The sequence below is a fragment of the Homo sapiens genome, chromosome 13, assembly GCF_000001405.40.
Source record: "Homo sapiens chromosome 13, GRCh38.p14 Primary Assembly".
NCBI classification, from domain to species: domain Eukaryota; kingdom Metazoa; phylum Chordata; class Mammalia; order Primates; family Hominidae; genus Homo; species Homo sapiens.
In genome coordinates this window covers 95236685-95253892 of record NC_000013.11, presented here as the reverse complement: position 1 = coordinate 95253892, position 17208 = coordinate 95236685, and the positions used below count along the sequence as shown (strand labels likewise).

The 17208-nt window shown below is 45.1% G+C and overlaps 1 protein-coding gene across 6 annotated transcripts in view, besides 1 other annotated feature; it reads left to right on the top strand.

Moving 5' to 3' along the window:
• Positions 1-17208, top strand: part of ABCC4 (ATP binding cassette subfamily C member 4 (PEL blood group)) — a 281617-nt gene that overhangs the window by 47559 nt on the left and 216850 nt on the right. For all 6 annotated transcript variants that reach the window (NM_001301829.2, NM_005845.5, XM_047430034.1 and 3 more), the window contains exons 2-3: positions 6140-6250; positions 6798-6918. In NM_001301829.2, coding sequence (NP_001288758.1) covers positions 6140-6250; positions 6798-6918 — 232 coding nt within the window. The remainder of the gene's footprint in view (positions 1-6139; positions 6251-6797; positions 6919-17208) is intronic.
• Positions 8841-8920: an enhancer, noted in NCBI's record as "active region_7869". NCBI's record gives its function as "activates an Ori minimal core promoter by ATAC-STARR-seq in GM12878 lymphoblastoid cells {active_cell/tissue: GM12878}" and the evidence as "EXISTENCE:reporter gene assay evidence [ECO:0000049][PMID:35858748]".

Below are 17208 nucleotides of genomic sequence, written 5' to 3'. Positions count from 1 at the left end.
CACTTTATACAAAAATTTGCATGAGAGTATTGCCCACATTTGAAGGAACACTTAACCTTCCATGTATTATGTTTATATGGAGACTTGTCTCTGAAGATGGATTTTGGAGTTTATATTAAATTTGTTTTTGTTTCTGTGTTGTTTTTTTTTTGATGGGGTCTCGCTCTGTCGCCCAGGCTGGAGTGCAGTGTGCAGTCTCGGCTCACTGCAACCTCTGCCTCCTGGGTTTAAGCGATTCTCCTACCTCAGCCTCCCGAGTAGCTGGGATTACGGGTGTCCTCCACCACGCCCGGCTAATTTTTGTATTTTTAGTAGAGGCGGGGTTTCATCATGCTGGCCAGGCTGGTCTCGAACTCCTGACCTCAAGTAATCCACCTGTCTCGGCCTCCCAAAGTGCTGGGATTACAGGCATGAGCCATCATGCCAGGCCAAATTTGGGGATTTTTGGAGGATGTGCTCATTCATGTGACAAATCTAGGTGCCTTCTATGTGCCCAGCATGTTGTTGGCTTAGCAGCAAACAACACAGAAAAACCCAGATGCTCTGGGGGGAAAACATGATTTTTAAAAAAAGTGAAATGCAATAGCCTTTCAAATGGCGACAGATGCTACAGAGAAAATTTAAGCGTAGGTAAAGGCAGAGGGTGAGCCCCATGGGAGGGTCAGTGTGCAAAATGGAAACTCAGCATCATTTCTTCAATGGAGCTGTTTTGGAGAAAGCCCGGGGCAGTCATGGTTGGCCGTGCACTAACCTTTCTATCGTGGAGGCGTGGGGAGGGGAGAGGCATTCTCAGGTGTTTTCCTTAGAAACACAGGAAGGTGAGGAAGAACAGTGGAAACTGAATGAGGAATAAAAGGCATTCAGATTTAAAGATACCAAGATTAGAAGTTCAGAGTCTAGGGTGGTCACCAGACAGCAGATACTGTTTAAAATAAGTGTTGAATTCCTGGCACCAGAATTCTAGTCCTTTACTATTTTGTGGCTTCCAAATAGAGAAAGTTCATGGAAGGAAACATAAAGGTCATCTAGTTAAAGTCCTGTGTATCTATTTCACTCTCTTTATAGATGTACAGTAGTCCCCCCAGTCCGAGGAGGCAGGGGAACTACCCTCATTGAAGACCCTCACCTCAGTGGCTGCCTAAAGCCGTGGATAGTGCTGAACCCTACTGATTTTTTTTCCTACTTACACATATCTTTGTTGGTTTGTTTGTTTTGTTTTTGAGACAGTCTCGCTCTGTCACCTAGGCTGGAGTGCAAAGGTGCGATCTCAGCTCACTGCAACTTCTGCCTCCCAGTTTCAAGCAATTCTCCTGCCTCAGCCTCCCAAATAGCTGGGATCACAGGTGCCTGCCACCACGCCTGGGTAATTTTTGTATTTTAGTAGAGATGGGTTTTCACCATGCTGGCCAGTCTGGTTTTGAACTGCTGACCTCAGGCAATCCACCTGCCTCGGCCTCCCAAAGTGCTAGGATTACAGGTGTGAGCCACCACACCTGGCCCTACTTACACATATCTATGGTAAAGTTTAATATTATAAATTGAGCACAGTAAGAGATTAACAATGATAATAAAATAGAATAATTACAACAATATACTCTTCACCATTTCGTTGATAGAAGGTTCACTCTTAAACCAGATCTCAGCAACCTCAGCATACAATTTTTTTTTCCTTTTCTTATTGGCTTGAGAACCTTAACCTTTTCACATAAAGGAAGGCCTTTGTGGCTTCTCCTTGGCATATCCAAATGGCTAGCATCCTTGTACTTGCTCTTTGGGGGCCATTATTAAGTAAAATAAGGGTGACTTGAACACCAGTATTGTGATGCCATGACAATAGATCTGAGCGCCCAGGGTGGCTACTAAATGACTAAAGGTGGGTGACGTCTGTAGCATGGAAATGCTGGACAGAGGGAGGATTCCCATCCTGGGTGGGTTTGTGGGAGATTTCATCATGCTACTCAGAATAGTATGCAATTTAAGCCATAGGAATTATTTCTGGAATTTCCCATTTAATCTTTTCAGTCAACTGTGGGTAACTCAACCTGTGGAAAGCGAAACTGTGGATATGGGGGGATGACTGTATAGCATCGAGAGACACAAGTGAACTCCTTCAGTAGCCTGCCACAGGGGATTTCATTCAACCTGCCCTTAGCCTTCCTTGTTCTCTAAACTCTCAGCTTAGCTCACAGCTTTGCTGTCTGCAGGTCTGAGCACAAACCTGCCTTCTCGCTTACCTCCTGGATCCCGTGATTCCAGGCCTAAGTTCAGGAGGTATACAGCAGAGAGGACCTTCCCTCCCTAGTCTCTTCTTTTAGTATTGTTTATTTCTAATAAAGTTGGGGGAAACTTTTCTTCTTTGATAGACTATAATTTTAGGGTTATGCAAATGCATAATCCATTGAAAAAGGTTTTATTAGGCTTGGCTTCTGAAGAATATAAAATTTTGAACTTGTCCATTAAAGAGAGAACAATCTTGATTCAATGAGTATCAAGTAATGAAATAATTATTTTAGTTCCATCATGGCCAGTTGTTACAGAAAGGTCAGGAAAGAGGAGGAGAAGAGAAATAGAAAGGGCCTTTAAGGAGGCAGAGAGGGCTAAAAGAGAGCTGAAAGGGGACAAAAGGAGAGAGGGAAAGAGAAAGTGAGGGGATTTACCAAAGATAAGTTAGCTTTTATTTCCTCCTTTACTTGTGGCTATGGGGAACATGAAGCTCATAGAAACTGAAGACTCAGGTCAGGGTCACAGAGACAGGGAGCTGGGACCTGTGTTTTCCCTCTTATACCACATTAAGAAACCACTATTGGCCAAGCTTGGTGGCTCATGCCTGTAATCCCAGAATTTTGGGAGGCCAAAGTGGGAGGATCACTTGAGCCCAGGAGTTCGATACCAGCCTGGGCAACATAGAGAGACCTGGTCTCTATCAAAAATAAAAATATTAGCCAGGCACAGTGGCATGTGCCTGTACTCCTAGCTACTTGGGAGGTAGAGGTGGGAGGATTGCTTGAATTCAGAAGTTTGAGACTGCTGAGCTCTGATCGGATCTGAGTGAGCTCTGATCGCTCCACTGTACTCCATCCAGCCTGGGCAACAGAGTGAGACTCCATCTCAAAAAAAAAAAAAAAAAAAAAAAAAGAAACCAGTATTCAGAACTTCTCAAATCCTTGGGGGAAAAAACAACAAAAACTAAATGCCACCACCACCAACAATAAATAACAAAACTCTCTACTAACCCTTGTCTAAGACTCCTGCTTGCTGGAAATGATGCTGGGGGTTGTGATCCTGGGGTGGAGAATGTCTCTGTATTGCTGAAGCTGATGGCTTCCTGTGTTGGGCATTGAGCACGACTATGCTATATTGAGTTTGTATTGAATTTTACCCTAGATCATTGCTCAAGGTACTCTACCCATCTGTCTTATTCAATAATACAATCATTCATTCTTTCCATAACTGTTTATTGAGTATCTATCACATACCAGGCATAATGGGGATTCCAAATAATATGGCAGTAGTCATTGCCCTGAAAGCATTGTACTCCTAGTAGGACAGTTAGGAGGGAAGCGATGCTGCTGTACTAAGTATTGTGGGAGATAAGGGGGAGAAGAGACTAAGTCTGAGGAGAGAAGGGCTACTGGGGCAGAACTGGGTGGAGGAATGGCTCATTTGGCAGTGGTCTGGAATTGTTGACTAGACCCCCTCAGGGACACATTGGTATTAAGGAGCCAACTGACTTAGATTTCCATGTATAAAGTCCTTACATAGATGGTCAAAGATAATTTAGTCTCTTGTCAAAGTTGACTTTTGTCATCAGGCAAAAGCCTTTAGCTCTTGCTGGTACCCACATCTTTTCAGCCCAGCTTTTTGAGATCTGGGCAATGAGAGAGAGTAGGAGGGTCCTTGTTAAGTCCTTACTGATTTGTGTCATCCTCTAATAGAAGCTTTGGGTCTCTTCTGATTGCAGATACTTTAACTCAACAGTGGCATCCCTCCTTGTTAATATTTCTAAATGTTATGCAGTTAACTGTTCAGCCTGTGGAACAGAGTTACCATTCTCACTTTCCTTAATTTTTTAACTTCCTGGAGCCAGTTTTATTCCCTGATTAAAAAAACCTCTTTAGTCCAAAAAGACACCAGTGAATTTTACTTAGAAGTCCTTGCTGAAATATACTGTATGAGGTTCTGCTGGAAGGGAGGTCTCGGGCATGCAGAGGTCATCTCAGGCATGTCTGGGAAACCCACCTAAGTTGAAGCTGGACTGGTTAGGTTACAGTCTTCTGGACACATTTTGGAGGAGGTGAGGAGAAAGAGGTGAGTTGATGAGTTCTTCTTGCCATTGGGTTAATTAGAATTGCTAGTTTGGATCAGCAGGAGGTTTCCGGAATCCTGAACATAACTTGGATACCCCTGCAGTGTGTGCTCCAATCTTACGGGGCATTGAAAGCCCACCATTTCACTGCAGGCAGAAGCCACCAGGCAGTGGGTTCCCCATGGGAAGGGCTTCCTAGATTAGACAATCCCCATGTTAAAATAAAACATGCCTATTAAAGGTGACACATGGCCAGATAAGACAGCCAAGATGAAAGAAGTTTGTGTAATTGAGTAATTGCATCTATCAAAGTTATTAGAGGTTTCCTTATAGGGCACAAATATGTTTCTTCTTCTTTTTTTTTTTTTTAGACAAAGCCTTGCTGTTCTGCTCAGGCTGGTGTGCAGTGGCGATCACAGCTCACTGCAGCCTTGACCTCCTGAGCTCAGTCCATCCTCCCACCTCAGCCTCTGGAATAGCTGGGATCACAGGCTTACACCAGTACATCTGGCTAAATTTTAATTATTATTTATATTTTTTATTGTTTTGAGATAGTCTCACTCTGTTGCCCAGACTGGAGTGCAGTGGCATCGATCTCAGCTCACTGCAACCTCTGCCTCCCAGGCTCAAGTGATTCTTGTGCCGCAGCTTCCCGAGTAGCTGGGATTACAGGCATGTGTCATCACACCTCGCTAATTTTTATATTTTCTTACTAGAGATGGGGTTTTGCCGGGCTGGTCTCGAGCTTCTGGCCTCAAGTGATCCGCCTACCTCAGCCACCTAAAGTGCTGGGGTTACAGGCATGAGCCACTGCCCAGCCTTTTTCTTTATAAGTTTTTAGTAGAAGTGGGCATCTCACTATGTTGTGTAGGCTGGTCTCAAACTCCTGGGCTCAAGCCATTCTCCCTCCTCAGCCTCCCAAAGCTCTGGAGTTACAGGTGTGAGCCACTATGCCTGGTGCATGTTAATTATTATCATTTAATGATTAATGATGTTAATTATTATCATTTAATGATTAATAATGTTAATATCATTTAAGTGATTCCTAATGGATGACCATTTTGATTTTTCTTTTTTTTTAGTAAAAAGAATCTCAAAATATTTGAATAAGTTCTTTCTGTCCTCTGCAAGATTACTATTTTGTCCTTTCGTAACTAATAAATAATTTGTACCTAGATAATTTTGGATTATGTAAATGTCCCATCAAACCTTCACTGACTGGTTTTAGCTCCCATTGAAAATGTTTTCTAACCTCATCATTCTTTATCTGAGAGTTTTTCCTTCTTACCCCATTTATGTCTCAGTAAGGATTCGTGGATTCTTTTGTTATTCAGTGGGTTAGAATTCATTGCTGTCATGATTTATTTGGATGCTTCCATTATCACAGACTTGTCTAGTGGGACCCCGTCAAGCTGGGTCCTCTGTTCTTTGGGCCCATCCTCTTGATTCCTTGAATGTTTCCTTATCGTATGGTATCTCATGGGCCATCTTTTTCTGCCCCAGCCTTTGAATCAGCTATTTCTTCAGGAAGCTCTGGTTCCTTTTAGATAATAATGGTTTTGGAAACCAAGATCTGGGCACCAGCATGCTCTCAGCTACTGGTGTGTCATTGCTTCTGGGGCCTGTCTGTGGATAGAGCTAGGGACTGTGTGTGTGTGTGTGTGTGTGCACATGTTAACTTTTCTCTCTCTAGCTCTATATATTCATATCTGTCTGTCTATATATAGCTGTATGTATTTTAAAGGTAAGTTTAAGCAAAACCCATGGAGGTAGGAGTCTACTTAAACACGGATGTGTAATTCTGGATATATGTCTCTTTTCTCTTGTTAACAGGTGGCTCAATCCCTTGTTTAAAATTGGCCATAAACGGAGATTAGAGGAAGATGATATGTATTCAGTGCTGCCAGAAGACCGCTCACAGCACCTTGGAGAGGAGTTGCAAGGGTAAGTCGGAGGCAGTAAAGTGGGCATTAAGGAAGCGTGGGTGTCTGTGTGTGGGGAGTGGGTTTTGCCTTCCTGGGTCCTGTCTGGAGCCTCCGTTTACCCTTAAGGTGAATATGTGTCACCTTCCTCAGGCTGCCCCTAGGCTCAGCCTACCATGGTGGCCTGGGGGAAACTCCTGTTGCCTGTGCCTCCGTAGAGGTCAGGGGAGCCAGCACCAAAGGCCCGAGATGCCTGAGGTCTGTCCCTCTAGGTGGAAGTGTTGTGGTTGGAGGAGGTTGTCTGGCTTATCTGTGCTACTGATGGGGCTTCAATCCAGTAAAGCTTGGCAGTAACTTGTTTCCCCAGACTTCCCCTCAAGGCCTGTTTTTCTGATGCTCCAGATTCTGTACCACACATAACCTTCAGGAGCCCTGGGAGCAATTAGTAGCATTTATGAAATCGTCACAAAATGCCCTGTCTTAAATGCATACCTGTCACTCTGCCATCTCCCCTGTTTTATATTGTGGCAGGGTTCACTCTTATTTACGAAGCTTTTTCCTCATTGTAGGTTCTGGGATAAAGAAGTTTTAAGAGCTGAGAATGACGCACAGAAGCCTTCTTTAACAAGAGCAATCATAAAGTGTTACTGGAAATCTTATTTAGTTTTGGGAATTTTTACGTTAATTGAGGTAAAAGCTTTTACATACCATGAATTGTTTTTCAGGACACATAGAGTAAATGTGCTCGCCATTGACTGGTGCTGTAATGGATGGGGGAACAGAAGGGAGAAGTGGCCAGATGGGGTTTGAAGGTATTTTAAGGTCTAAGGATTAAACATGTCTAGGAAGTATTAGGTAGTTAGTTCAGTGAGCGTATTTATCCAGGTGAATACTTAAGTGACTGAAGTTCAAGGTCATTATTGTTTTTCTTGTAACCAATTAAAATGCAGTGTCATGGAAGAAGAGTATTTTATTCTATGGTAGGACAATGTTGGTGCTCGGTAAATGTTTTAAATGCTAAGAGTCACTCCTGGTCAAAAGAGGATCCTACAGCCTTGAGGAGTGCGTGCCCTGTGGTTTAGAGGAAGTGATTTTGGATCGGAGCCCAGAATAATGTAAGACATTTTACAGGTGCTCAACAAATAATTGTTCACCAAGCCAAATCTGATAATTGCTCTTCTGGAGAGGTATTGTCACCTCTCCCCTCTCGGGGAAACAGAGCTGAGGGCCTTGCACCTGGGCTGGCGGTGGTGCCCCAGAGGCTGGAGCTGGCTGAAGCACCCAAGAGCTACCCCCTCCCAGTGGGCCCAGGTGCTGGGAGCCAAAATCCCCTCTGGGAAGAAGGTCCGAGGACTGTGCACCCAAGGGGATTCATCACACCCATCCGGTGTGTCTTCCTTGTTGTCGGAGTGGATTGCTGGTTGGAAGGTAGAGTCTTGGTGCCTGGCCCTGCAGAGAATGTATAAATGGACATTCCATGAAAAATCAAAGACAGCCAGAAGGGCAATAACCTCTGTTACCCCGAAGGGCCTCTCTTGAGATCTGCAGAAAGACAGTGTTCTGCCTAGGCACACTGCCAGGTAGCTTGTCCGTTCTGGTCTTTGGCCTGCTAGAGGAGATGCAGAGGGTCCTGCTGGGTGACTTGTGTCCTCTGTGCTACCTTAGGGATGTCAGTGGTCCATTAAAGTTAGAGGGGTGGATGTTGCTGTTGTTACAAAAGGGTGGCTTTAAATGCAGGATGGGGAGTTGTCACGGTGCATTTTGTTGGGAATGAGGTGGGTGGGGGGAGGGGGTTGGTTTGTATGTGGGGGGGTTTGCTCCTGTTGAACATGCTTTTTGTTGTGGAGGGCACGGTGGGCAGTGGGAGGCAGGTAGGTGAGCTCTGCCCTACACCAGAGGAATCTGTCAGACAACAGGGGACTGGACGGTCCTGGGAGATGAATGGTCTCATTGGTGACAAAGGTGTTTTGGCCAGGGTGCCAGATGGTGAATGCCACCTTTGAGAGGGTACCCGCCCTGCCTGCATGCTACTGTGGCTTTGTGGCAGATGGGGTGGACATGCAGAATAACCGGTGGAACTGACTTGAGGGTGGAAGAGGGCTAGGAGCCCCTCAGGTTCTCCCAGCCCCTCTTCAACCTGTGCTGGGGTGTCCCAGCGATAGTGTTTCCACATGGCCCCGATCAGTTTCAGTTGGAAAGAAATAGAATGACAAGTCGGTGTCAATGTGGCCAGTGTGTGCAGGATTTCCTGGCCCAGTTTGGCTGTGCAACCTCAGAGAAGTTGTCTGGTAGCCATGGAGCCTCTGTAAGTGTCTAAGGCTCATGCCAGGTGTCTGGTTAGGTGTAGTGGGAATCAATGGCCTCACATAGGTTTCGAGGCATGCCTCCCTCAGCTACTTCCATTTCTCTAGTTTCCCTTTGTCACCAGCTGCTTATGAAATTGAAAACAGGATGATTTAGAAGGAACTGAGCTTGTCATGCTCAGGGCTGTCCATGCTGTCATGGGCTGCCAGCCACTTGGGGTGGGGTCTCTAACCCACAGATGGTGACTGGACTACAGTGAGATTTGGGTAAGCTTTTGGGAGAAGCAGGCACAGAAGTAGAGGCTGTAGAAGCGTGAATTTCTCCTGAGACTTGAGGACAGGCCCCACTCTGGTGCAAGGAGCATGGTAATCTTTACTGCTGGTGGGCATGTGGGAAGGGGCCCGGATCGAGGGGAGCTTTAATATGGGTACAGTTGGTGGAGAGCTGGTCTTTTAGCGGGGTGGTTATTGGGCAGTCATGGCAGAAAAGTAGGGAGTGGAGGACCTGGCAAATATGGGGGCTCATGCTCAGTACTGCTTAGCAGCAGCAGTGCTAGTAGAAGCAGCAGCAGGATTAGTAGTGGTTGGTACTCAGTAGTAGTAGTAGCAGCAGCAGTGATAGTAGCAATAGTTGTAATAATACTGACAGTGAGTACTTGAAAAATACTATGTACCAGGAACTGCTATGATTTCTTTCTTTCTTTCTTTCTTTCTTTCTTTCTTTCTTTCTTTCTTTCTTTCTTTCTTTCTTTCTTTCTTTCTTTCATGTTATTTTATTTTATTTTGTTTTTTGAGATAGGGTCTCACTCTGTTGCCAGGCTGGAGTGCAGTGGTGCTATCTTGGCTCACTGCAGCTTTGGCCTACTGGGCTCAAGCAGTCCTCCCAAGTAGCTAGGACCACAGGTGCACGCCACCATGCCTGGTTAATTTTTGTATTTTTGTTTCACTATGTTGCCCAGGTTGGTCTTGAACTCCTGGGCTCAAATGATCCTCCCACCTTGGCCTCTCAAAGTGCTGGGATTATAGGCAGGAATCACCATGCTCAGTCAGAAGGCATTCTTTTAACCCTACTTTTGGGAAGAGGACACTGGGTGCCATGTAGTTATATAATGTGCCTAGGGCCACACAAAGTGTAAATGACAGAGCCCAGATTCAGTCTCAGGAGCGCTGACTTAGGGACCTAACCATCTCCAGACTGTCGTAAAGGTGTCTTGAGAACTCTGTCTTCAGAGTATCCAGCACATGCTTCTTGAACTTGGCCTAGGGATAAGTCAGATGCTAAGAGCTCCCTGGAACAGTGGGGCATGGCTGTGGGAAATCAGATTGGGGATTATAAATTACCCTAGGTTCCTAGGTGTCCTGGTGCCGGAAAGTCAGGTGACATGCTAGAGAGTGGCTGGGGTGCTGGGCAGGTCAGAGCACCAAGGTACATTCAGGTTGACCACGAACTCTTTTTTTTTTTTTATGTTTTCGTCTGAGGTGGGGTCTCACTCTGTCACTCAGGCTGGAGTGCAGTGGTGTGATCTCAGCTCACTGCAACCTCCATCTCCCTGGGCTCAAGCAATCCTCCCACCTCAGCCTCCTGAGTAGCTGTGACTATAGGCATGCACCATGCCTGGCTTATTTTTTGTATTTTTAGTAGAGATGAGGTTTTACCATGTTGTCCGGGCCGGTCTAGAACTCCTGAGCTCAAGCCATCGGCCCACCTCGCCCTCCCAAATTAATGGGATTACAGGTGTGAGCCACTGTGCCTGGCTGACCAAGAACCCTTTAGAAACCTGTCTCCCACTGAGTACCATCCTCCACATGTGTGAGGCGTGCAGCCCTGCTGACCCAAGTTCATCAACATCCACGCTGTTAAGACACCATTCCCAGTTGTCTCCTCCTCGGATGGACGAGGGGGAAGCTTGTGGTCTTGCATGGTCACGACATTGACTGATGGTCTGGGCGGATGTCAAGTTCCCTGTTTTTACTTATCAAAGGCTCTGGGTTTCTTGCATAGCAATGATATCTCTGCAGTTTCAGAAGCCTTTGGCCTGAATCGTGAAGTGGGTGTGCAGTTTGCTTGGCAAGGATGAAGACCCCAGATGAGTCACTAGTATGGGGACAGCTCTTCTGTCCTGGTATCTGAACCCTCCCACTAGCAAGGTGGGCCCCAGGTATTAGGGCGGCAGGCTAAGGTGTTAAGATGGACCCACACAGTGCTGGCGGCAGGCACCTCTCATATAAAGTGGAGCCTGGGCTTTTCACAAGAGAGCACTTGTTGGTCCTGTGTTTACACCAATATCTTGGTGGTTTATGGTATAAAATTAGACAGTAGTCAGTTATTCTTTAGAGGATCATGGTGACTAGTGGATGATGCTCATTTTAACCTTGTGTCTTTAACATAATAACTGGTAGAACTTTTAGTTCCGATGCAGTGAAGTTCAGGGAGCTAAAGCTCTTCCCAGTTCAACTCAAAGTAATCCTTGGATTTTTTTTTTTCTTTTCCTTCTAGCAGTGAAAACAGCCTGAATTCTAGTATAAATACTATTGTTTTCCCAGCCTTGCCTATTGACACTTGGCTGTTTTGGAGAAGTTGGAGAGAAATAATTTCTTAAGATGAAGGTAGTGAGTGTAACATCTCAAAAGCATTTCAGGTGTTGTTTTGGGTTTTCAATCATTAAAGCTATTTATTGGCCAGGCATGGTGGCTTATGCCTATAATCCCAGCATTTTGGGATGCCAAGGGATGATTATTTGAGCCCAGGAGTTCCCAGCTTTAGTGAGCTATGATTGCACCACTGCACTCCAGCATGGGTGACAGAGCAAGACCTTGTCTCTAAAAAAGAAAATTAGGCCAGGCGCAGTGGCTCACGCCTGTAATCCCAGCACTTTGGGAGGCCAAGGCGGGCGGATCACAAGGTCAGGAGTTCGAGACCAGCCTGACCAACCTGGTGAAACCCCATCTCTATTAAAAATATAAAAATTAGCTGGGCATGGTGGTGGGCGCCTGTAATCCCAGCTACTCAGGAGGCTGAGGCAGGAGAATTGCTTGAACCTGGGAGGTGGAGGTTGCAGTGAGCTGAGATCACGCCACTGCACTTCAGCCTGGGTGACAGAGCAAGACTCTGTCTCAAAAAAAAAAATTATGGAGTTAGAACAAATGTTAGTTTCACAGTTGATTTAATGAAGATGCTTTTCATTTTTTGGTCTTGTGTCTGTGCTGCTTGTGGATCTTCGTATTTTGGATAGTGGAAGCTCTAAACTTAACCTAGCATTTAGTAAAAAGCTTCTGTGATGACTTTCAGGCCTTTTTTAACCCACTTATGCCGGAGGTTGCCAATTTTTTTTGTGTGTGAAAGATCAGACCTTGGCGATGAGGTTGAACAGTAGAATATAAACTCCCACAAGCTTAGTGTTCCAATAATGGAATGCTAGGCACAGATGGGTTAATTCCTCTGGTTACAGAACAACTGTGCAGTGGATCCATAACTCCCTAGCCATATACTCTTAACTAAGCTGAAGGCAAGCAGGGCCTTCCCTGGGTACTAATGATGGCACCAGCAGGAAGAGAGATGGTGACACCAGTTTGCGGGGAGTCTTTGAGGTTGGAATTTCAAAGTAATGCAAGTGAGATTAGGAACGATTGTCAGAGTTGAGGAATGATTATAATGCCCAGAGAAACAAGTACTAGTCTAATGGTGAACATGGTGCTCTTCCAGGCAAATGCTAATTAGAACAGAACAGCCCGCAAATTTCCAGCACATCTGTCCCCTATGTGCACCTCCATGGAGACTGTGATGGGGACTGGAGACTGAGCAAGTATCCACCCACTTAGAGCCTGCAGGGGGGGCAGGAGGAAGGAGGAGCTTGGGAATCCTCTGTGTGGGCCAAACCAGGACACAGGCAGCTTCTCCATTTGTATCTATGCTGCTTGTTGGTCTTTGTATTTTAGATAGTTGAAGATTATCTAAATGTTTCTTTGAGAAATGAGATGTGTATTTTTTTTTTTTTCCTGAGATGGAGTCTCATTCTGTCACCAGGCTGGAGTGCAGTGGCACGATCTCGGCTCACTGCAACCTCTGCCTCCCAGGTTCAAGTGATTCTGCTGCCTCTGCCTCCTGAGTAGCTGGGACTACAGGTGTGCGCCACCACACCCAGCTAATTTTTTTGTATTTTTAGTAGAGATGGGGTTTCACCATGTTGGCCAGGATGGTCTCGATCTCTTGACCTTGTGATTCACCCACCTTGGCCTCCCAGAGTGCTGGGATTACAGGCATGAGCCATCGTGCCTGGCCAATGAGGTGGTTTTTAATAACTTCAATTCTACATTTCTTGTTCAGCTGCCTGACATGAGGGCCAAGGCCAAGCCTCATGTGGTATTTTCTTTCTTTGGTTGTTTTGTTTTTTGAGCCAGAGTCTCACTCTGTCACCCAGGTTAGAGTGCAGTGGTGTGATCTTGGCTCACTGCAACCTCTGTCTCCTTGGTTCAAGCCATTCTTCTGCCTCAGCCTCCCGAATAGCTGGGATTGCAAGCTTATACCACCACATGTAGCTAATTTTTGTATTTTTAGTAGAGACAGGGTTTTACCATGTTGGCCAGCCTGGTCTCGAACTCCTGACCTCAAGTGATTCGTCTGCCTCGGCCTCCCAAAATGCTGGGATCTTTCTTAGGTTTTTAAAGATCATTTCAAAAATATAAAATATAATAGAATACTAAGCCTCTCTCTACCCCTAAGCCAGCTTCAGTAACTATCAACTCATGACCACTCTTGATTTTTATGAAGCCCTGCTCACTGCCCCCTCTGAAGATGTGTGTGTGTGTGTGTGTGTGTGTGTGTGTGTGTGTTTTGAGATGGAGTTTTGCTCTTGCCCAGGCTGGAGTGCAGTGGCATGATCTTGGTTCACTGCAACCTCTGCCTCCTGGGTTCAAGTGATTCTCCTGCCTCAGCCTCCTGAGTAGCTGGGATTATAGGCATCTGCCACCATGCCCGGGTAATTTTGTATTTTTAGTAGAGATGGGGTTTCACCATGTTGGCCAGGCTGGTCTCGAACTCCTGACCTCAAGTGGTCCACCTGCCTCAGCCTCTCAAAGTGCTGAGATTACATCGCGCCCAGCCGCGTGTGTACTTTCTAATTGAAGAAACCGTGTTGTTTGCCCTGCACGGATTCCCAGGGTCTAGATTGGGCTCATTGCATATCCCTCCTCCCCTCTTGTGACCCTCTACATCCTTGCATGCTGTATCATTTAACATGTCCATCTGGTACCAGAAGTTAGTAGTTAGATCTAGAAGCTTGATGTGATTCAGGTTTTATTTTCCCCCCTCCTCCCTTTGGCAAGAGTACTTTGTAGGTGAGGGTGTGTACCACCTGCCACTTCGAGATACCTCGCTTAGGTCTGGTTATGTGTGTGTGGTATTTGGAGCCATTCATGATCATTGCTTAAGATGCATTAATTTGTTAGGAGTTTGCAAAGTGGTGATATTCCAGTTCCTCATTTATTAGCTGAAATATTTGCATAAAGAGAAACTTTGCCATTATCAACTCTTTGATACTCTGAGTTACAGTACACCTATAGGAAAGGCAGGAGAAATGATTAATTTTGTTATTTTTTTTTAAAACCGATTTTCAAAATAATGAGTGATTCTCCAGCATTTTCCTGTGGAGTTAATGGATTTTTTGTTATTGCTTGTTCTGTATATTTTGATGAGTATGATTGTGAGCTCATGGATTTAAACAGTTCTGATGTGCTGTTCATTACAGTTATCATCCCTGTGCCACGCTTTGGCTGTCTTTGGCTAGTGGGAGTCTATCGAAGTTGGGCCCTGAGTCTTTTGAATGTATACTATTAGTCTTTGCAACTTCCTCATTTTCTGGTATGACAGATGTTTTAGGCTCCCTGAACAGTTTTTGCCCCAGCTGTGGAATCAACCATTTTTCCTAGCAGCTTTAACTCCTTTTATGTTTATATTTAAAGATAAACATATCATGAATTTATGTGGGTATTTCCAAATCAGATTCAGGACACCAGTGTTTTGACTTAATCTCTTTACTCTTACATCTGTATCTCTTTTCTCCCTTCATCTGTTCTTTTTTCTCCCTAGCCTAATCCCAGCTCTTGATATCAACATACTTATTCATTTATTTTATCTTACAGTATCAACACTATTACCCATAATATGATTTCTAAAAATAATTTAAATTTTTTTTTTTTTTGCAGTTTACATTGTCCTTAGGGTAGATAATAATGTGCAGGGACTATCTTTTCAAACTATTTTTTTTTACAGTCAAATAAACTAGTTAAACTATTTTGTTTAAAGTTAAAAAAACAAATTATGATTCATCCTTTTGTTTGGTAGGTACAGTCTTTACTGAACATTTAATTTTCCCTGCTGTGCAGAATGGAAGATCTTAGTTTCATCACTGAAATCTCAGCATCCTTTTTTCCTAAGGGATTTTCTTGGAAGCCTAACATTTGGCAGCAGTTCTGATTAAAAGCCCTTTGTGGTCTTAAAAGTTCTTCAGGGTCAGGCACAGTGGCTCACGCCTGTAATCCCAGCACTTTGGGAGGCCAAGGCAGGCAGATCACGAGGTCAGGAGTTCGAGACCAGCCTGGACAATATGGTGAAATCCTGTCTCTACTAAAAAAATACAAAAATTAGTTGGTCGTGGTGGCATGTGCCTGTAGTCCCAGCTACTCAGGAGGCCAAGGCAGGAGAATTGCTTGAATCTGGGAGGTGGAGGTTGCGGTGAGCTGAGATTGCACCACTGCACTCCAGCCTGCGCAACAAGAGTGAAACTCCATCTCAAAAAAGCTCTTCACAGCGGGTCTCCAGCCCCTCCAGACTCAGACACAGAGAGTGCAGGAGAGGAGAATAGTGATGTGTACAGGCATTGGTTTCTACACTCCAGAATCTTCCGGGGATGGGGAACTCAGGCCCTACCCTGATCAATTGGCCCTAAATGTGGGGGATGGGTCCTGAGCATCAGTGAGCGTGTAAGTCTCCTGGGTGATTCTAACATGCAGTCAGGACTGCACTGATTCAGAGAGGACTTCAGGTATATCTGGAGTCTTAATGGTTATTATTTCCCCAGATTCACCTTTTTTCTTCCTTATCTCTGGATCTTTCTCAACCCTAGTTTTGTCCCCTGTTCCCCCATTTCTTTTTTTTTTTTTTTTTTTTTCTGAGATGGAGTCTTGTGCTGTTCTCCAGGCTGGAGTGCAGTGGCGCGATCTTGGCTCACTGCAGCCTTACCTCCTGGGTTCAAGTGATTCTTGTGCCTCAGCCTCCCCAGTAGCTGGGATTACAGGTGCGAGCCACCATACCCAGCTAATTTTTGTGTTTTTAGTAGAGATGGGGTTTCACCATGTTGGCCAGGCTGGTCTTGACCTCCTGACCTCAAGTGATCTGCCCACCTCGGCCTCCCAAAGTGCTGGGATTACAGGTGGGAGCCACCGCGCCTGGCTGTATTTCCCCATTTCTAAAACAAACTGCTTACTCATTTTTCCACAGCTCACTCTTTTCTGCTTGTATTTTTCACTCAAACATCTTCTTTGGTAGCTTGTTTCTATTTCCTGTGTTTTCTTTCCTTCCCATGCAATCTGGTATGGTGCAGTTGGGCAAGGAATATCTGAAGTGCGTGGGGGAGCAGGAGCATGGAGGCCGCGTGCCCGCTGGGCCTAGACATGTAATGTGTCACTCCAAGAAAGCAAGGGATGGGGCTCGAATGTCAGGAGGCTGAGTACCAAATACTCCATTGAGAAGTATCTGCCTTCAAGTACTCTGGGACTCCAGTAGAACCTGAAGTATGGAACATTCAAGTATCCTACTGGACTCTCAAAAACCTCCATGGTTTCACAGTCGAGGAGAATTCTTGTGAAGGAGTAAGGACTATTCTTAGCTTGTTTGTGGAAAGACTCTTCACCAGGTCATAGATTGGTTGGTCTCTAAGGTGGAGAATTTATGTGAGTTACTTTTGACCTTGGTACTGATATTTAGAAAGTTTAAATTTGGTTAGTTGTAATTTTGATAATGAGTATTTTCCCAGTTGTTTCGTTTCTTATTAGTTGAAGGTTAAGATGGAGAGGTCCGTGGAAAAGCATGGACCAAAAACCAGCATTACTCACCAATGAGCCCATTTGCTTGACTGGATTATTAAATGCTGTCTCTCGGCAGGGAAATCTGGACAATTAGGTAGTCGTGACCTACCTGCCTTTTGCATTCTCTTTCGCTGGGTTTATTGCATCTGTTATTTCCTCTGGGGGTCATCCCTCTTGCCGTTTGAATCATACTCACCTACGGCTGAAATGGAGAAGCGTGTAACAGGTAACAGTGACTCCCAGGGACTGTGAGAAGTTTCAGGAACATTTAGAAAGGCAAAGAGCACTGAGCGTCTGGCTGATAGCCCAGGTGTGTCTGCTGCGGCCCTGGTTGCCCTTGGCACTCCTGAGCCAGGGCTGCCCATGTGTACAGTTTGGCCGTCTTGCTTCTTGATGTAAACGTCCAGATTTTCATCTCAGTAAACTCTAAACAGTCCGTGTTATGACCCATTGTACTGGGGGCTCTTCCATAAACTCTTAGTGCCTTTTGAATGATTGGCCATGCTGGAAATGTAATGGTGAGCCTCTGCATTCTTGATATCTGATCATCTTATTCATAATTCTTCAACTAAATGGTATTTTCTGATTTCTGTAT